Genomic DNA, 20,874 nt, shown 5'->3' with positions numbered 1-20,874 from the left:
TTAAAAATGAGTTTGGAACCTACTATATTTTGATATCTTCCAGTAGTTGAAAAGACATAGATAGATTAATGTTATTTAACTTGTAATAGAAATAACCTGCAAAACTTAATGCTGGACCTCTCTATTTTTGTTAGATATTTAAAGAAAATTTTCCAATTTCCACCATCACTGCCTTATTAGATTTTCTGACATTTTTGGGTCAAATTTGCAAATAACATTTTTCAATAAAATTTAGCATTTCTTCTGGATTTTCAAACTTAATGCCATCAAATTGCATGGAATATTCTTTTCTGATACTTGGAACACTTTCTGGATTTACATATCTATATTCCTAAAGCTGTTTATTTGGATTTTTCTTTTTGCTCTATCAGGCTTGTGAAGAGATTTTTTTTTTTTTTTTTTTGCTAAAAAGCTAGGATTTGTTTTACTTATTTTGGACTACATCTTTATTCTTTTCTATTTCATCTGAAAACACTTTCCTAATTTTCTGTTTCTTCTTTTGTTTATCTTTACATAATAATTTTGTTCTCATGTTACATACATAATTCCTTATCAGTCTTTCTTTTTAAATAAAATAATGTCTGGCTTTAAAGTTCTTTTTTATACATCTTTCTTTCTATAGCATATAATTTGATGTGGTTTAGGTTTTTCATTAATTGTTGAATGATTTATAGTTGTGTTTTTATTTTCCATGTGCTTCAAGAATTATTTACGGAGCAAAGCTAATGTTGGCTTTTGGGATCAAGCCAAAGCCACCAAAATTAATATTATTTCCATCTTTTTCTAGTAACTCAACTGAAAAAAGGTTGTGAGAATTGAACTCTCCCTTCCAGTTTTGGTTCCCAGGTCCCAAGCCTCTCTGGTTAAAGGAGTGGGGGTGTGGGGTGGGCCGTGGTGGGGAGGGCAGACTTATCTTGTGGAGACTGGCAGGGCACTCTTCCTCTGAGACCACGGGTGCCAGCAAGCTCAAGCTGCCTCCCTTGTTCTCTAACAGGCTTCCAGAATTGGAAGGTTTTTCCTGTTCTCTCCTTTCAGGAATTTAAGGCCTTAGAAATGCTCTCACTTATTTCTTGGTCTAACATTAAGTTTCTGTTCTTCAAGCTGTTCTAGCATGGAGTTGGGAGGAAAAGACTGTCATGAAAAGCATTCAGCGAGCTGTCCTCAGTAATCCATATTTTTCTCTTGAAATATTTTTGGAAACGCAGCTAATTATCATCTCTTTCACTACCGTTGTCTTAACTGAAGCCCTTATTAGCTCTATCTTGTCCTACTGAAATTATTTCACCACTGGAGTGTCTCCTGCTTATGTCACCTTAAAACCCATCTGTCCCCCATACTGTCAATGTTATTTTTTAAAACAAAAAAGTTATCTTAAAAACTTTTTTTTACCACAACTTTCAGGGGTTTTTACTGCTTATGCAATCAGAATAAAGTCCAAATTCCTCAGGATGGTATGCAAGCCCCTTCAAGCTTGGGTGGCCTCTCATAAAAATATGATCTGATACTCCCCCATGTCACTTCCTCCTCTAGTGCGTGTGTCTGCACCACTTTCTGTAGCTGGTGCACTGACTCCATCACAGCCCACATGTGAAAAGCTCCAGATTAGTTACTCTTTTCTTGGGTTAACATTTCGGATTTTTATAATTGGTTTATTCTAACATGAGGTTCAGCTATGGCCATCAGGTATTTTTGGTAATAATGTGTTTCTGCATCCTTTCTTTTTAAAACTAGCCTAGATGATCTCTCATGTAAAAGACAGTGTCTGCCCTTCACACCAAAAAGTATGGAAGTTTAGAGGAGTACATTAATTTTGAAGTAAATTAATAACAGATGCCCATTTTGTTATGTTACACATTTTCTCTACTTTGTATTTAATTCATTACTTCTGAAGCATGGCAAAAATTAAGCGGCACATATACAATAAATAATAAACTAGAGTATAAAATGGATAAAGCACTAGGATTAGTCAACAAAATAAATCTTTCCAATTAAAATCAATCCACAAGAAGCCCATCATCAAAAATAATCAGAAGTGATAATCAGCCATTTAGCACAAACGTAAATTTGTGGCTGCCACAAAATACAGCAACTGGGCCTAGTGAGAAGCTTGATGTGTTTGTAGCCAAGAAATTAGGCACTTGTTTCCATATTGCTCTTGTTGGAAAAAAGATAAACGTGAGAGCCCAGCATCTGTGGTTCAGAGTTGCCAAGCACATCCACTGAGTGACCATTCTCTTGGCTTAAATAATTAAACATATTGAAAGGGGGTGCAGAAGTAGACCAACTCCTGCATTGCCAGCAGGAGGAGATGTGTGGGCCAAGCATGTATCACACTGCAATATAACAGCCAATTAGTTGTGTAATTGCATTTTGCCAATAAAAAGGCAACATTGTGTTTGGAATTCTGCAAATTTCATGTGTCTCTAACAGCATTGATTACAGTGTATAAAAAGGTGAGAATACCGACTTTTTGTTGTTTTGTTAAAAAATAATTGATGACTTTAGAAGATAACAATTTAAACATGAAACAGGACAAACCACTATGATTAGCTTTAGTACAAGGAAATGAAATGGCAAAAAAATTTTTGCTGGTCGACAGGATGTTAGGAAGTTAGGAGAAGGGTGATCTTGTGACTCTTGCAAGTAAAATCTATTGCCTTCATTTATGAGGAGGAGAGGAGTGATCTTTTTGTGTAGAAGAATAATTATACCTGTAAACTACATAAGTATCCAGGATAAGATAAGGCAGCATATTTATTTTCAAGTGGAATTACCTCCACTTCTCTCGTTTCACGCAGGAATCATTAAGGCCAAAGCAGAATGTGGAAAAAAGGAAGAAAGGTGACAAGAAGTGTAACATGTGGAGACTTATACCAGACGAGCAATATCCCTAAATTTTGAGTGGTTTTGCATTGTCTCTGTAATTGTAACTGAAGTATTAGGCCAGAAATAAAATTGAAGAGTAATTTAGAGAAATATTTGCATATCATCTAGTGAGAAAATTTGTGACGCTAGACACGTTAAAAAATCTTACGTTATTTTTCAGATGATCTGCATGGTGGCATATCTGATTTATAGCCCTTTATTCCCTTAGGCCATCGTTTCTTAAGTGTAGCCTTCAGAACACTAATTTACAGGATGTTAATATACCCCAGGCGTAAATGGTTCTTTGCACAAATAGATTTTTTACATTTCAAGATGGATGAAGGTAGATAAAGTTATTAGTGTAATACAGCTAACATTATGCTCAATGGCAAAAAATTGAAAGCCTTCCCTCTGAGATCTAAAACAAGACAAGGATGCCCAGTCCTGCCACTTTTATCCAATATAGTATTAGAAGTCCTTGCCAGAGTAATTAGGCAAGAGAAATAAATAAAAGGCATTTATGTAAGAGAGGAGGAAGTGCAACTGTCAGTTTGCTAATGGCATGTTCTTATTTATAGAAAACCCTAAGAGATCACAAAAAACTATTAGAACTAATAATTAAATACAGTAAAGTTGCAGGCTACAGAATCAACACACACATTTGTAGTTTTTGTACAGTATCAAACTATACAAAAGAAGTAAAGATATTAATCCCATTTACAACAGCTACAAATACAACTTAGGAATAAATTTACCCAAGGAGGTGAAATACCTGGACACCGAAATTGAAAAACACAGCTAAGTAGAAAGATAATTCATGTTCATGGATTGAAAGAATTAAGATTGTTAAAAATTCCATTGTACCCAAAGAGACCTACAGATTCAGTGCATCCTTATCAAAATTCCAATGTCATATAATAGAACTAGAAAGAAAATCCTAAAATTTATATAGAACTACAAAAGACCCCAAATAGCTAATGAAGTCATGAGCAAAAAAAAAACAAAGCTGGAGGCATCATATTCCCTGATTTCAAAATATACTACAAAGCTGTAGCAACTAAATATGGCAGCAGTGGCATAAAAATTGACCAGTGGAATAGAAAACAGAGCCCAGAAGTGAGCCACACATGACAGTCAATTGACTTTTTTAGAAAAATGTCCAAGCACATAGAATAGGTGGACCGTCTCTTCAATTTTTTTCCGTCTTCACAGCCACCACTATATCCAAAGCTATAATCAGCTGTCACTAGACTACAACAAAAGTTTCCTTACTGTTTTCTGTTCCTTTTGAAACACAAATGTGACTCATGTTGTGCAATGGCTTCTCTTTGCTCTGAGGATAGAACAAAATTCTCATCTCAGTTACAAGGTCCTGTGTGGCTTTGCTCCTCCTTGTCTTCTTAATCTGTCTCTTTCCTCCCGTGCTTCCTTGCATCCAGCTATGATGGCACCCTTTCAGAACTTTCTCAAATTCACTATGCTCCCTCCTTCCCTGGGCTCTTTATACTTGTCATTACCTCTATCTAGAATGTTCTCCCTGTTAGTTCTCTTTTCCTATTTAACAGTTGCTCATACCTCAGAACTCAGGTGGTGGTATTTTATTGGAGAAGCCTTGCTTGATCCCTAGACTAGGTTAGTGTCTTCTGTAATCTCAAAGAACCAGATTCCTTTCTATTATGATACAAAGCTCACATATTACAAAAAAATCTGTTTTTTTTTTTATAGTCATCTCATGCAATAAATTCCAACCTCTATGAGAAGAGTCTTATTGGTCATTGCATTCTAGGAACCTAGCCCTAGGGCTGAAAAATGATGGGTTTACAACAGATATTTTAAAATAAAACAATATATGAATATATGGATAGCTTTAATGTGAAAGCAGAGATACCTGATAGACTGAAATCTTTATACAGTTGACATTTGAGCAACACAGGTTTGAGCTGTGGGGGTCCACTTTTACATTGACCTCTTGGATATAAAAATCCACACGTGCTTAAATCTCTTATTTTAAATGGCATAGTATTTATGTGTAGTCTGTGCTTATCATCTTGTATATGTTAAATCATCTCTAGATTACTAATAGTACTCAATACAATGTAAATGCTATGTCAATAGTTGTTATACTGTATTGTTTAAGCAGTAATGACAAGAAAAAGTTTGTACATGTTTATGTGCAGACACAGTTACCTATTTTTTCCAAATATTTTTGATGCTCAGTTGGTGGAGTTGATGGATGTAGAACCCATGAATATGGAGGCTGACTGTATTGTTGGTGGTGAAGTTTTATTAGATGACCAGTTCCTTGCAAATGCTATGCAGGTATATATTGACATAAAAATCTGATACTTTTAAGTAGGATTCTAGTCAATAAAAAAATATTAAAATACCTATCTCCATAGCTGACCATCTTGCAAACATTTGACTACAAATTATAATATTTTATTGTTGCAAGTTTTCTTATTTTCATTATATAAATGGTCACACCATTTGTATAGACAGGCATACACATATGTAATGCACATCGTCCTATTAGCCAGAAGTTTGAGTTCAAATTTAGTGAATAATTTAATTTCTCTTATATTTTAGTGGTAATCTAAAATGTTGGCAATATTCAGTTCTTTTGTGGTAGAAAAAATAAACACATTTTACTTATAAAAACAGACAGTAAACAAAATTCTTAATTATGTTTATTACTCTTCATAAAGAAATATATGAAAAATTCATCAAATAATTTAAAAGTTATTAGATCATTAGTTTTATATTAGATTCAAAATATGTCTCTCATATGGTCTGTTTTCCATCCTGAAGGAGAAAGAGAGAGAGAGAGAAAGAGAAAGAGACAAATATGTCTTTACATAGGAAAAAACTCAGAAACTTTTATAAATATGGTTTAAAATTACTTGAAAATATAGAATTAGTATGTATAAGAATTAAATAATTTCAATAATATGTAATACCTTCGAGGGAACATATCTTGGATATATTATATAATACTTTCAGTAAATATTTTTAAGTTATTTTATGATTCTATTGTTATGTGGAATATTAAACCAATTTTGGTAAACTAAGAGAATGTATATTTTAATGATTTCCCCCATGTAATATGTAGTAAATCAGATTTTGTACTTTTTTTTGCTCTTTTTGCAATATTTTCTTTTTTGGAGGAAATCTTAGATTTTTTCCCCCCTTTATTTATTCACACCCATTATCCTTATGGAATATTTCAGATATTATGGTGAGAGACAACTGCACTCTGAGACACTGGCATAGTTAACACAGACCAGATTTTTGTAATTCTGAAATAAAGGGTAGAAATTATCCACCCTTTTGGAGCTGCTGTACCAGAATAGCTTTTGAATATCTTTGTGAAGAATGACTTGTTGAAAGATATCATAGCAGAAAAGGAGAAAAATTGAGCTCTTGGGGGCACTGCAAGACCTTTGGTTGGATCTATAAAAGGAAGAGACTTCTCTTTAAAGAGTTTCCCAAAAGGTCTTGAGCATTAGCAATGTCAATTTTGAAGGGAATGCCACGAGGGCTTTCCCTTTGCACTTGAAAAACCCGTCTCTAGGCCTATTGTCATATCTTATAGCTGTATTTCATAATTTGTAAGGTTATGGGAATAAATGTTATAATTATTTAATGTTTATTAGACGTCTAGATAGAATATACTAAACTACACCCCTTTTCAAATCTCATACTGTAACTTGAATACAGTGGACATACATGAGAGAAAGAATGAGCTTTCAAATTGGAAAAAGATCTATAGGAAGGCTTTATAACAGTTATCAAGTTATCAAGTTTCTGCTTTTTTCCTGCCTGGAATGTGCTTTGCTGGCTACAGCTTCAATAGCTACCTTGAGACCTTGAGATGAAAAGTTCATCTTGAACATGAAAATCAATTAGTAGAGACAGCGAAAGCAGGAAAGATGAAAGAGCTTTGTCTCAAGCCACGAGACTAGCCCCAAACTACTATACCAGCTTCCGGAATGCAAGTTATGTGAGTGGGAAATAATGTGTGTGGTATGTTCCTTTGCTAGGATGGCCAACAAAGTACCACAGACTGGTTGGCTTAAACAACAGAAATTTATTGACTGACAGTTCTGGAGGCTGGGAGTCTAAGACCAAGGGGGCAGCAGGGTTGGGTTTGTATGAAGCCTCTCTCCTTGGCTTGCAGGTGGCCACCCTCCTGTTGCCGCTTCACATGGTCTTTCCTCTGTGCGTGCGCAGCTCTGGTGTCCCTCTCCATGTCCTAATCTCTTCTCAAAAGGACACCAGTCATACCTCACTTTACCTTCGTCACCTCACCTTATCTCCAAGTACAGTCACATTCTCAGGTCCTGGGAATGAGGATTTCAGCATGTAAATTTTGCGGAGACACACGTCAGCTCCTAACAGTGAGTATAGATGCTACTAGTTTTTTTCGGTTTTGGGAGCTTTTGTTGAGACAGACTCTTGTCCTGTTGCCCAGGCTGGAGTGCAGTGGTGCAATCTCAGCTCAATGCAACCTCTGCTTCCTGGGTCAAGCAATTCTTGTGCCTCAGCCTCCCAACAAGCTGGGATTACAGGCATGTGCTATCACGCCGGCTGGTTTTTGAATTTTTAGTAAACATGGGGTTTCACCATGTTGGAAAGGCTAGTCTCAAACACTTGGCCTCAAGTGATCTGCCTGCCTTGGCCTCCTGAAGTGCTGGGATTACAGGAATAAGCCATTGTGTCCGGCCCATGTTTCTAGGTTGTTTAAATTACTGTTTGGTTCTTAGCAGTCACATGTAATTACTAACGAACACAAATAGTACATATAGACATTTATTTATAGATGGGAAGGTAATCAATCTCAGAGAGTCTTAAAACAGATATAGCAGAGGTTTCTTATGGGGGATTAAGCTATTTGCTTGCAGTATAAAACTTGATATTTTATTTGTTTAAAACCAGATGTATATATTACGTTGATTTAAAATCTAAAGCAAATTTAAAAATAACTATGACTAAAAATTATCCATAAAATTGGTGAAACTGTTATGTTCTATTTCAACAGCTTATTTTTAGGAAACACAGTTGAGAAGGCATGATGTCATGATAAGGGACATGACAGTCATGATACTGTTGTCCTTGCTGATAAGGCCAGCACACCATTTTAGTATCCTGAAGAAAAAACAAATCCATGTCACTTATATCTGATTTTAATATAGTGCCGATGAGTAAATAGCCTGTGAAGGACTAGATTATACAATTAAACCAAACTGTAAAAAAAGTGCGAGTATCATAATTTATCAGTAGTAATGCTAAAAGCAAACATAAATATATAATAGTGTATAATTAATATAATATACCATTGGTAATTATATACTATTAATTAATTATATACTATTAATAATTATATACAAAAATGTTGGCAAATAGTATATTTTTTCCACTGATGTGATCAATCTATGAATTATCTAGTGATTAAGTTATTTATAGCTTTGTTTTTAATTTTTGCCTTGATTAAATTTGATATATCTTTTTTACTTTGAGTCAAAAATTGAATGCATTCATATTATTTTTATATTTTCTTTTTTTATTAAAAAACTTTTCTTCTATTTTGCTAGGTTAAAAAGTTAAAAGTCTACAAAAGTACTTAGATTAGATAACATGTCTTTGATGAAAGACATAGAAATGTTACTACACAGGGTACACCTAACCTTTTCCCTTCACTCTCTCTTCTGCCTCTACACATCAAACATCCGTGGGTTAAAAAGCCCATTTGGAAATTACTTTTATTAAAATAAAGAACCCTCATACTCTCTGTGATTGGCCAATTTCCCCTTGTTTTCAAATTTTATCCTCATTTCTCTACCATTTCTACAGATAAGAAAACTGTGGTTCAGAGAGATTAAGAAGTTTTAGGTCATATAATTTGCAGATAATTGGAATCAAGATTCAGAATCTGAGGTTTTGATTCCAAAACACACAAAAAAATAGAAACCCTCAAAGAATGTGCAATCTAATGAAGGAGACAGGAAAGTATAATCAATTGTGGTGAACATCAGTATGATAAAGGTCCTAGGAGTAGACAGAGAGCAGATGATCTGAGGTGATTTGGTAGGTGAAAGAAATTGTGAGGAAAACATTCATGAGGTTGTGGGGGGAGGTGACAGGGAAGTGATTTGAGTTAAGGACAACAGCATGAACAGATTAAAGGTAGGAAAGTAAATGTCATTTTGGACAAAAGCCAATAATTTGGCCCAGCTGAGGCATCCTGTTGAGAGGGAAGAGGAATAGAAGCTGCTGAGGTGAGCTCAAGCCATAGGTTGAAGTTCTATCGTGAGGATTCATACTTGCTGTGCTAAGGAAATGGAACTTTCTTATTGAAACAAGAAATAGCATATGAGCGTTCTTTTTAAAAAAATAAGTGTGACTTGATTAGACCTGAATTACAAAGAGATACGTATTATAGCATTATGGAATATAGATTCTAGAGGGGAGAAAATAATGCAACCAAGGAGTCCAGGTAGTAGAATGTAATAAGAGTCAATATGAGATAGTGAAGTCATAAACCAGGGACACTGATTAGGAGAGATGGAGGAGATTGGAAACATTTTAGGGTTAAAATGGACAGGACTTTCTGATTAATGAAGAGGGAGGAAAAAGCTATATGATCCCCAGTGAAGCCATCAGGTCTTTAATGGCAGCAGGTTTGGGATATGTTGAATTTGGATGCCCTCGTGATCTTTAGGCTGCAATGTCCAGTATGAAGGAGAAAGTTGCAGAAGGTAACTGAGCTTTGGGACTCATCATCTTATTTAAAATTGCAAACTCATGAAAGTCCTTGACTGCATTTTTAATCCATTGTAATGTATTTCATTCATTTTAAGCTATACTTTTTCACATGTGAACAGCTCTGAAATTGAGATGTGCCTTACAGTCTATAGAATATTGCAGTTTAATTGTTCATAAGATGCATAAAACTGTGATGCATCTAATAGCCAATAGGATTTTACATTTGATGAAATGCCCCTATCCTTTCATTTCCTTATTTATTGATTTTTAACTTCCTTCACTAGAATGTAACCTCCATGAGGGCAGCATTTATGTTTTGCTTTCTTTTCTTTTCTTCTTCCATTTTGTTCTGTTCTCTATCTCCAGTGCCTAGAACAGTCCTGATACATAGTAGGTGTTCAAGAAATATCTGTGGAGTGAATGAATGTCTTGGGCTATTTTCCTCAGTTGAAAGTGGGTGATTTCATCAAGGGAGAGATTAAATATATGTAGGAAAATGGAGAGAACCAAATGGAAGTAACTTTTGGCAAATTCAGGAATTTGCCAAAGATCTGCACAGGATGACTGGGTTGGGGAGCACCCCCCGACTCAGAAAGTAGATGAAGTGTCAGGTGCTTACCTCAAGAGAGTGGCATATCACACGCCTCAGTCATTTTGAGTTTAAGAATCACTAAGCAACAGTTTAAGGAGTTTCCTTTTTTATTGTTTGAGAGATTTGTGAGACAAATTTTAGTGTAGACTTAAGCAAGAAGTTATCCTAATCACAGTTTTAGATAAACTGTAACAGACTAGGTAGTAATTTCATTCAACACTGCTTTCTCTCCAACCTAAAGCTATGAAACACATTCAAAAGATACAGACACACACACATACACACACACACACAGAAGTTAACACATGTGAGAAAGAAGTTCTACTCAAATAATCAAACCTTTCTCAAGGGAAAAGGATGGTGTATTTTGTGCTACTGCAGAGGATGCACTTGAAACCAACAGTCATGAGGGAAACATTTTGACTCAAAAGAGCTCTGATAGCTAGAGTTGTTCATCTTTGGCAAGGGCTCATGAAAACAGTTGTGAAATGTTTAAGCAGAGGCTGAAGAGTACTTGTAAGGGATGCTATAGGGCTCTCTATGTAACCTCATTGCCTATAATATGTTTAATACAAGTTAGGACAGTACATGCTCAATTCCCCCTTAATTTCAGGGGGAAGGTGTCATTACATATAAAAATTGAATGACTCACATGTGATTTTTCCAAGGATGTTAATTGGTGTTGCCTCCAAGCAGTGCAAAGCACACCTGAGACAGTGAACCTATAGGCCACAGAGAAGTGCAGCGCTGTCCAGGTCAACTGTTTCCCCCTGGCCTTCCCTTCATACCATTGGCTTCGTGTTCTTCTGCCTTTGTCTTCCTGATCTTTGTAGATTTTTCCCTGTTTCCATTACTCAGCAGCCTCTGCCTTGTTTGGGTTTGAACAGTCTCTCTAGCCGCTTTGTACCCCAATACTATTTTAATGTGTGCTTTTGCGGAACAGAAGGTTTTGGGGAACGTGTCTGTCACATTTACAGCATTGAGTAGGAGGCTGGAGAGATGGACTCTAAAGTTATCTCCAACTTGGAGTTTCCACGATTATAAAAGTGTCTGCCTAAGCAGACTGAATGGACACCAATCATTAATTTGTGAACAATAGAAATCAGGGCTGACTGATATTAATTTTTCATCTGTAAATATCTGAAAGTTAATATTAATATTAACTAGTTTGAAGTTTGCTACATTTTATCATTAAGACCATTTATAAATGAAATCTGTCAGCTTTCATTAAAAATAAAGTTTGCCAAACAGGCTAGGGACATCTCTAGGATTTTGGGCTGTCAGACAGACAATTGGTATATCTGGAAATGAGCTCAAGAATGTGGGTTGTTCTGTAAGATATTGAGCATAGTTCTTTTAATTCTCTGAGAAAAATTGCTGTTTTACTGAGAATGTTGGGAAGAGAGCACATACGCTTTACTGTAAGAATGTATTCATTTTAAGAACTTCAGTGTTTGCTCCATTATGGGTCCCTTTCATGTCCCTCTAGTAATGCAGGTATGTACATTGTCTTCACCTATGATATTACTATTATGAGAAAAGAAAAATGACTGACACCTAACTGCAAATCAAATTCTCTAAATTAGCATTCAGGTATTACTTTATTAGTAGATTGTAACAGCTAATTTGTCCTGTGAGCCACAAGCCAGGAGGATTACTCATCTGGTGAGACTGCAAATGCTGACAGCCTTAGTACTCAATGACTTCTTTATAGACTCAAGAATTACTGTATTTCTTCAGCACATGCTTGTTTTCCTATCTTAAAGCAACATGGGGAATTTCTGTCCTGCTCTTTTAATTTACTGATTTCTTCTAACACTGTTTTTGGCAGAATATTTTCCTACTTGTGTGACTTTTGCCAGATGAGAAATAACTACACTATCAAACAAGCAAAAACCATGAAAAAGGCTGCATGTGTAGGTCCCCCTCTGAGCTTTAGGGTCAGAGTCTCTAGGATTGGGGCCTGCTCATAAGTATTTTTGTAATGCTCCCTGGGTTCTGCTGATAGGCAATGCTTGCTAAGAAACCTAATTATTTTCAAAGGGCTTTTCTAGCATTATCACTGTATGACTCTATATATTGTACATTAACATTAGAATAAAGTGTCAAATGAATTCAATAATTAACTTTTTAACAGGTGTAATAGGATTTTAAAATCCAGTTGTGTCTGAGTATTATGATAGCACCAATATGATAGATACCAGTTACCAAAAGGAGCAGATGAAGGTTGAATTCACTGTTTGCATGACTGCTTGAGCTGAGACTTACACCATCCATGGTTTCTGGTTCTTAGGCCTTCAGACTTGAACTGAATTACATCACTGACTTTCTGGGTTTCCATATGTGATAGCAGACTATGAGACTTCTCAGCCTCCATAATCACATGAACAAATTCCTTACAATAGATTTCATTAGACACACACACACACACACACACACACACAAATACATAATTATATATATACACACATATGCATCAACACACATACATATATGTGTGTTCTGCATATAATACAATTACTTTTAAAAGGCAAAAACCGCAGTTACATAGGCCAAAATATTTAAAAGTTACTATACGTCAAGTTAACTGTGAAATAAAATGTTTTCTTCTTCTACTTTGACAAATTCTGTATGATGATTATACTTAACAAATGTGTTTAAATCTGTGATTTTATCTGGAAGATGGCACAAGATCAAAGAAGATAGAATTAACTACCATTATTCATGATTGGGTGCTCAGAAGCTGGGCTAGCAATGTTAGGATGAATAATTAAAAATAAAAACACTATCTACATATTATCTATTTTTATATAAGTTATTTCCTCTATTTTGGTAAAATTGTTAATTTTTTTTGCCATATTTAAGATTTATCACGGGCCAGGTGCAATGGCTCATGCCTGTAATCCCAGCACGTTGGGAGGTCAACGTGGGCGGATAACTTGAGGTCAAGACCAGCCTGGCCAACAGAGTGAATCCGCACCTTTCCTAAAAATACAAAAAAAAAATTAGCAGGGTGTGGTGGTGGGCACCTGTAGTCCCAGCTACTCAGGAGGCTGAGGCAGGAGAATTGCTTGAACCCAGGAGGTGGAGGTTGCAGTGAGCTGAGATTGTGCCGCTGCACTCCAGTCTGGGTGACAGCAAGACTCCCTTGCAAAAAAAAAAAAAAAATATATATATATATATATATTACATAAAACAATGTATTCATAGGAATGTCAAATTAGACAACCTTTCTGGAATTATAATGGACAGATTTTTTGTGTGTTTAAATTATTACTTCAATTTAGGGAAGCTTCACTTGGCTGACTGTAGCAACTTTAAGGTAATAAAATTATTAAAACAATATTTAAATAAGAATGAAATTATGATAATATGTTATGTTAAATACTGTAATGGGCCTAATATAATATATTGTCATTATAGTGGAAAATTTATAAAATATTTTAAGATATAATATAAATTATGTTTTTATTCTCAAATATCCAGAGGTATACAATATTGTGAAGGGTTGGCATTACATTTCACAAATGCTAGATCCATTTTTATCTCTTCATTTCTTTATCATCTATCCATCAATCAGTTGAACATTTAAGACTATTCTGAACTGTTTATTACTACAAAACAGTCCTCATTCACTATGCATAACTGGCTTTTGTAAATGCCATTTAAATTAATGAATACTTCTACCGGCATTGACTGGAATGTGAAGGAAGGCAAGAAAATAGAAATTTGGCACTACTGGAAAGCAACACCTCATTATGTAAAAAAATCAAGTATGTTAATAGTTTCTTGAGAGAAAATATTTGACAAATTAATTGTATTTTCTCTTACTGGAAAAGAAGGGGTTAAGCGGTTGGCCTGAAATTTCTTTCTTTCCCATTTTCAGATCTCAGGGTGGCCTTGGAGTAGAAGGGATAAGTGACCCAAATATAATCTCCTGTAAATATGTTAATAACAGATTTATGGCCAACAAAAGAATAGTATTTGCGAGTAGAAGAAACCTTGTCTATCAAATGCTTCTAGGAAGATGTTTCTAATCTATGGTATTAGTTGACTCAAGCTTTTTTCTTTTCTTTTCTTTTCTGTTCTTTTTTTTTTTTTTTTTTTTTTTTTGAGACGGAGTCTCGCTGTGTCGCCCAGGCTGGAGTGCAGTGGTGCACTGCAACCTCCACCTCCCTGGATCAAGCAATTCCCTTGCCTCAGCCTCCCGAGTAGCTGGGATTACAGGCGCACGCCACCAAGCCTGGCTACTTTTTTTATATTTTTAATAGAGACAGGGTTTCACCATGTTGGCCATACTGGTCTCGAATTTCTGACCTCAGATAATACACCTGCCTCAGCCTCCTAAAGGGCTGGGATTACAGGCGTGAGCCACCGCTCCTGGCGACTCAAGCATTTCTATTGTGTAAACATTCCCTGCAATCCCAGGTAGTGTTCATCTCTGACATCAGTAATGATACAACTCTTAAATTGTCCTGGCATTTGGAAAACTACTTCACCGTGGCCTGAATGGTATTAATCACAAGAGTGGATGTTTAGGGCTATGGATCAAGCTTTGCCAGCACTGAGTGACAGACTCCATGACAGAGGCACACATACATTCTTTAATAAATGCATGAGGTCGTATGATTTTCGGTATGCGAGGCCCTGTATCCAGGCAGGGGTCTCTCTTGTTTGCATCTGAATGTGGCACTGGGACAGAGGAAGAAGTATGAGCGTTGAATGAAGACTGAAATGCATGTGAATGCACTAACTGGTCTCATTCTCATTAGTAGATCATGCTACATTTTCTGATATTTTGTGATATAAAATTGCTATATGATATCTATTATTTAATAGTAAAAAGAAAAACTAGGGATTTTACCCAATCTTACATTCAGAGCAAAAGAAATTGTTGACTTACCCGGCCAGCAGCCCTGTCCGGGAGGTGGGGGGCAGCCCCCGCCCGGCCAGCCGCCCTGTCCGGGAGGTGGGGGGCAGCCCCTGCCCGGCCGCCACCCCGTCTGGGAGGTGGGGGGTGCCTCTGCCCGGCCGCCCGGTCTGGGAAGTGGGGAGCCCCTCTGCCCGACCGCCACCCCTTCTGGGAGGTGGGGGGCCCCTCTGCCCGGCAGCCCCGACTGGGAGGTGGGGAGCCCCTCTGCCTGGCCGCCACCCCGTCTGGGGGGTGTACCCAACAGCTCATTGAGAACGGGCCGTGATGATGATGGCGGTTTTGTCGAATAGAAAAGGGGGAAATGTGGGGAAAAGAAAGAGAGATCAGATTGTTACTGTGTCTGTGTAGAAAGAAGTAGACATAGGAGACTCCATTTTGTTCTGTACTAGGAAAAATTCTTCTGCCTTGGGATGCTGTTAATCTATAACCTTAGCCCCAACCCCGTGCTCTCTGAAACATGTGCTGTGTCCACGAAGGGTTAAATGGATTAAGGGCAGTGCAAGTTGTGCTTTGTTAAACAGATGCTTGAAGGCAGCGTGCTCCTTAAGAGTCATCACCACTCCCTAATCTCAACTACCCAGGGACACAAACACTGCGGAAGTCGGCAGGACCCTCTGCCTAGGAAAACCAGAGACCTTTGTTCACATGTTTATCTGCTGACCTTCCCTCCACTATTGTCCTATGACCCTGCCAAATCCCCCTCTCCGAGAAACACCCAAGAATGATCAATAAATACTAAAAAAAAAAAAAAAAAAGACATTGTTGACTTAATTTAAATTTTTTACAAAGTAGTGAGAGAAATAAGCAATAAAATTGCATTTATCAAATTTGCTGGGTTATGTGTTCAACATACCAGTTATGAAAATGTAGGCTTTTCCTATCAAGAGCTATTATCTAAGAGAAGAGGGTATTCACTGAGGAATGAGTGAACAATGCAAAGGCCGATTGCCTCTGAGAGTTCAGTGCTTCACAGGACTTAGCTGCATTCCCACATCCAGGAAGTCCTTATGCTACTGGCAGAATAACTTTGAAGACTGTTTTATGATTTTGTGATATATATAAAATTAAATTTAGGAAACAGCTTCCTGAGCCTGGTCACCATCTTGTGAAGGCCTACTTCCAATCAATCACTTTTGAGAAATAAATGGAAAAACAGAATCACATTTCTGTATGTATTGAGCATTAACTATGTGCCCAGCATTCTTTTAGGGATTGGGATACGTCAATGAACAAAATAGAGATCCTACACTTACATGGAGCGTTTATTGTTAAAAAAAAAAAAAAACAAAACCCAAAAAACTAAAAACCAAAGATGTTGATAAAACTAGTGAGCTTTAACACTTCTTTTGAGATGTCGTATATATTATTTATTTCTGAAAATCCCTAGAGTTGCCTTTCAAAATTTCATAGACAGAGGATCTCAGGTTTTCTACAACAAGGCAATAATTATAAGAACTTAAATGAACTAAAATTTATTACATCAACTTAAATTAATTGTAAATATTTCAATTCTAATATGCAAGCCACAAACTTCCTTTGCCTAAATAGAAGAAAGAAAATGCTGAGGAGAACAATCATGTAAATCTGGAGCCAAAAATAAGCTCATCCTATTGTGAAATCTGGACATACTAGCAAAAATTAAATGAGAATTCTATTTTCACCTTCTTACGAATTCATTGTGAAAAGATTCTTTCAAGCCATCAGATGGAATTTATTTAAGAGTTGTTTTATGGATTTTTTTTAACCTTTTCAGTGTTTTGAAATTAGATACATTTAAATATTGCAAGAGAGATTAGGGAGGATATTTCCAACACCCCCTTTGCTGTTCTAGAAATGATTAAGGAGTGAGCCTGCTGAAATGGAAAATAGCCAGTGCATTTCTGGCCAGATAAGTGGGAAGCAGTAGCAGCTGGTGAACAGACTGCATTCGGGGACCCAGCTGGACTCCGGGAGATATGGAAAAGGTTTCTGAGGGGTGGTGGTGGCATGCCTTTCCTGGAGGCCTCTAAAAATCAGATGGACACCCTTCTGTGTGAGTTGGGACGTCTGTTCTACTGGCTGATAGATAGAAGATAGTAGGAAGGCATTCCTGCCAGTCATTGAAATTTGTTGAAAATCTGCTATGTACCAGCTGATGGAGACACCCAATGGACAAAATGGACATGACTCTCTGAGTGCTTATAATTCTCTCAAATTGACACTCAGTAAATAAATGGGTCTTTGGTAACAAGGACATCCCTCAGTAAAACACTGCTCTTCATTTTAGTGAGTAGTGCAGTGCTGAGTGCAGCTTGTGGTCTACTGTTTGCTTCTGTGAGTATCCTAAATCAAATTTCTGAAGTAATGAAGCTTGTTAATGTGTGAGGTTTACGAAAACCATTTTGATGTAGACTTGGTTCTCAGTTAAGGGTATTGTGAGAAAAGTTTTACTCCATTAAGTTGCAGATCCTAAAGTGTTATAAATCATTCTATTGAAGTAATATGCCTAGGGCTGGCATATCTTTTTTTTGGACATAAAGAGATTTGCTACACAGTGTTAAATGAACCTCACAGAGAACCAATGGAACAGCAAATATCTTTCCAGCAGGGAGAATGCAATCTTGTACAGGCATCACACTCAACTCCCACAGCGAATGTGAATGTTTTTTTTTTTTCCTTTCTTTTTTTAACATGTTTTTAAGAGCAACAGAAATTGGAAGCAGTGCACAGAACCAAGATGTATAGTCATTAATCCCACTTCCGTTTAGGGATGAGGGTAAAATATTGGATAACCTCAATCACTTCCACTCTCATAGGGGTTTAAGAATATCTGGATCGCTGAGCTGATTACAAGTTTCATTTAAAATGTAACACACTGAGGTCAGTGTAGTTTTGCTGTGACTCATTTTGTTCTCTAAATGACATCTGAAGTTACCTAAATTTTTTTAGTTACCAGCTACCTGAAAGTAGCCAATGTATTTGCTTACTGGCATAAGATGAAAAACATCATTCCAGTATTCAAGTTTTTGCTAAATACAGTTTTTAATATCTGACACTTTATATGCTATAACCAGGCACCCAAGAAGACCAACAACATGAGCAAAAAATGGCAAAACTAATAGAAAATAGAAATAAATCTTCCAGATTTCTAGGTATAGAGACTCAGACTTTAAATGATTATTCTACTGTGGTCAAAATGATACTAAGATCTTTTTATTTCCATAGGAAAGATAAAAATTATTTTAAAAATGACAAAATTGTAAGTGTGGTACTGAAAATGAGTAACTAAATGAAGTATCAGTGGTTAGATAGTAACATTAGAAAATGTCAAAGAGAAAATAAGAAATTAAAAGATAGTTTAGAAAAAATAATCAGAATAGAACATAAAGAGATAAAATGGTAAAAACATGTAGAATTGGTGATAAAGAGAATATTGTGAGAAGCTCTAACATTTGTATCATTTGAGTTCTACAATAAGATAAGGGGAAATTATAAAAGTAATATTTACCAAGATCGGCACTATCAACTTTCCACAACTGATGAAATACACTATATTACAAATTAAAGATATTATATGAGTTAAAATATGTTTACAAAAGGAAGGAAAGATGGAAGTAAGAATGTTAGGAAGGAAGAGAGGAAGACAGAACAAAGTTTACAAGGAAGTATATCATAGAAATTGCCCAGAGGTATAGACAGAGAAACTATCTTAAAAGCAGCCTAAGAAAGATAGATTACTTTCAAATGAGCAACAAGTTTGGTTAACAGCTGACTTCTCAACAGAAATAATGAAAGGCATAGACAATGGAAATAAAGCAAATAACTTCCAAAGAATAATTCTCAGTAATAATTTCTGAAAGAATAAAGATGAAATAGAAAATTTTAGACAAAAAATGAAGAGCTCATAAGCAGCAGACATTCAGTAAACATAATGCAAAAGGTGAGGGTTTAAAGTATAAAAAGATAATGTGACATTTCAGAGATACTAGAAGGAAGAAAGAGCAACAAAAATGCTACATATCTTCATACATCTAAGTGAATTTAACTAACGTATCACTATTTTTTGTATTTTAAATACACAATTAAAACACAGGAATACAGTAGTGTAAAATCAAAGTGGGGAATAGGATGGTAGTAAATGGAGTTAAAGTGTTTTAAATTTTTACATTTTCCAGTGATAGGATAAATGACAGATTAAATTTAGATTCTGATAAGTGACAAATGGACATTGTATTTTTTTAGGTAGCCACTAATATGTTTAAAATGTATAATTTCCAAGTAAGTAGAGGAAAGAAAAGGGAAATAAAAATGCCTAATTATATAGAAGACCAGAAGCAAGAGAAAAAATAACATACAACTTATGAGACAAATCAAGATCAAATAGGAAAAGAGAAAGCACTACATTCTGGTTACTATATGATAAGTAAAGGGGATAAATGTCCCTTTTATTTATCATATAAGTATGTGATAAGATATGAAAGATAAAGACCATCAGGATGATTGCTTTTAAAGCTAACTTTGTGGTATTTGCAAGTTACACATCTAAACATAAAGAATACATAAATTCGAATATAAGAAGATAGAAAAGGACATATCATGCAAACAAAAACTAAAAGTAAACTGCGAATATATTCAAATGTATAAGGAAGAAATAATGCTGTTATTACACAAAGTATACATGCTTCTTGACTTTTGATGGGGTTACTTCCTGTTAAACTGATTGTAACATTGAAAAATCATATGTAGAACTATTAGAAGTTGGAGACTGTATTTTAGATGGCAGAAAACCAGGAACATTCCCCAACTCATAAAGTAATACAAGTTTGTCTCTATCTCATATAAAAATCTCACTCAAAAATTCTAAGCAAATATTATCAAATTTATCTAGCAATATATAAATACAATAATGTGGTGGTTTGCAAAAATGACCACAGTACTTTGCAGCAGCTCTTGTCAAGAGGTGAAACCCATTTTCCATGTCATGAATCTATGTTGATCATGCAACTTGCAACAATAACAAATACGATATAAGCAGAAGCTTAAAAGCACTCTCAAATGTTGGAGCTTGCTACTCTTGAAGTACTGCTGTTTTGTGGACAAACCTGTATTTGCTACTGTATGATAAGCCACACATAGCCAAGTCACCTCTATTGCTCCCGTTGTCAGCCTGCCAACTGCCAGATATAGAAGGTTATGCAAGGACCTTGAGACCCCAGCCAAACTGAAAATTGCCTGCAGAGACACAAAATAGCCTAGCTCAGATCAGTCAAACCAATCCCAGATCAGAGCTACTCAGAAAATCATGGCCTAAATAAATGACTTTCGTTTTAAGCCACTATTGCTATCTTTCTGAAATTATATCATAACCAAGTTGGTTTCATCTCAGAGATGCAAAGGAGTTTTAACTGAACCTGTATTAGACTTATTCTGTTGGCAAGAGTCAATTCAAACAAGCATCACAACCACTGATTAGATTAATAAAACACTGAGAACTCATTTCTTAAATTTATAAAAATATCTTAGGAAAAAGAGATTAAAGAGATGCCTACCAAATGGGAATCTGGGTGACTATCTAAAATAGAGTTGAGAGGTGTGTGTCTAAAATAGAGAGACACCTAGGGATTAAAAAACAAAAACAAAACAAATGATGACAAATCTAAGAAATATGCCTAAAAAAGGACTATGTAGCTATTAACGTGTGGAGTTGACTGGAATCAAATATAGAAGATTATTGAGACAATCA

The 20,874-nt window shown here is 35.8% G+C and overlaps 1 long non-coding RNA gene across 3 annotated transcripts in view; it reads left to right on the top strand.

Moving 5' to 3' along the window:
* The window catches only part of LINC02663 (long intergenic non-protein coding RNA 2663), a 434,814-nt gene that overhangs the window by 7,191 nt on the left and 406,749 nt on the right, over positions 1–20,874 (top strand). Inside the window, exon 1 of one of the 3 annotated variants that reach the window (XR_930645.3) lies at positions 7,043–7,262. The exons of the other annotated variants lie outside the window; for them this stretch is intronic. This is a non-coding gene — a long non-coding RNA (long intergenic non-protein coding RNA 2663). Of the gene's footprint in view, positions 1–7,042; positions 7,263–20,874 lie in introns of those variants that run through there. 3 annotated transcript variants of the gene reach the window in all.

This window comes from Homo sapiens, chromosome 10, assembly GCF_000001405.40.
Source record: "Homo sapiens chromosome 10, GRCh38.p14 Primary Assembly".
Lineage (NCBI taxonomy): Eukaryota > Metazoa > Chordata > Mammalia > Primates > Hominidae > Homo > Homo sapiens.
Note: the sequence above shows the minus strand (reverse complement) of the source record. Positions and strands in the feature narration are given on the sequence as shown.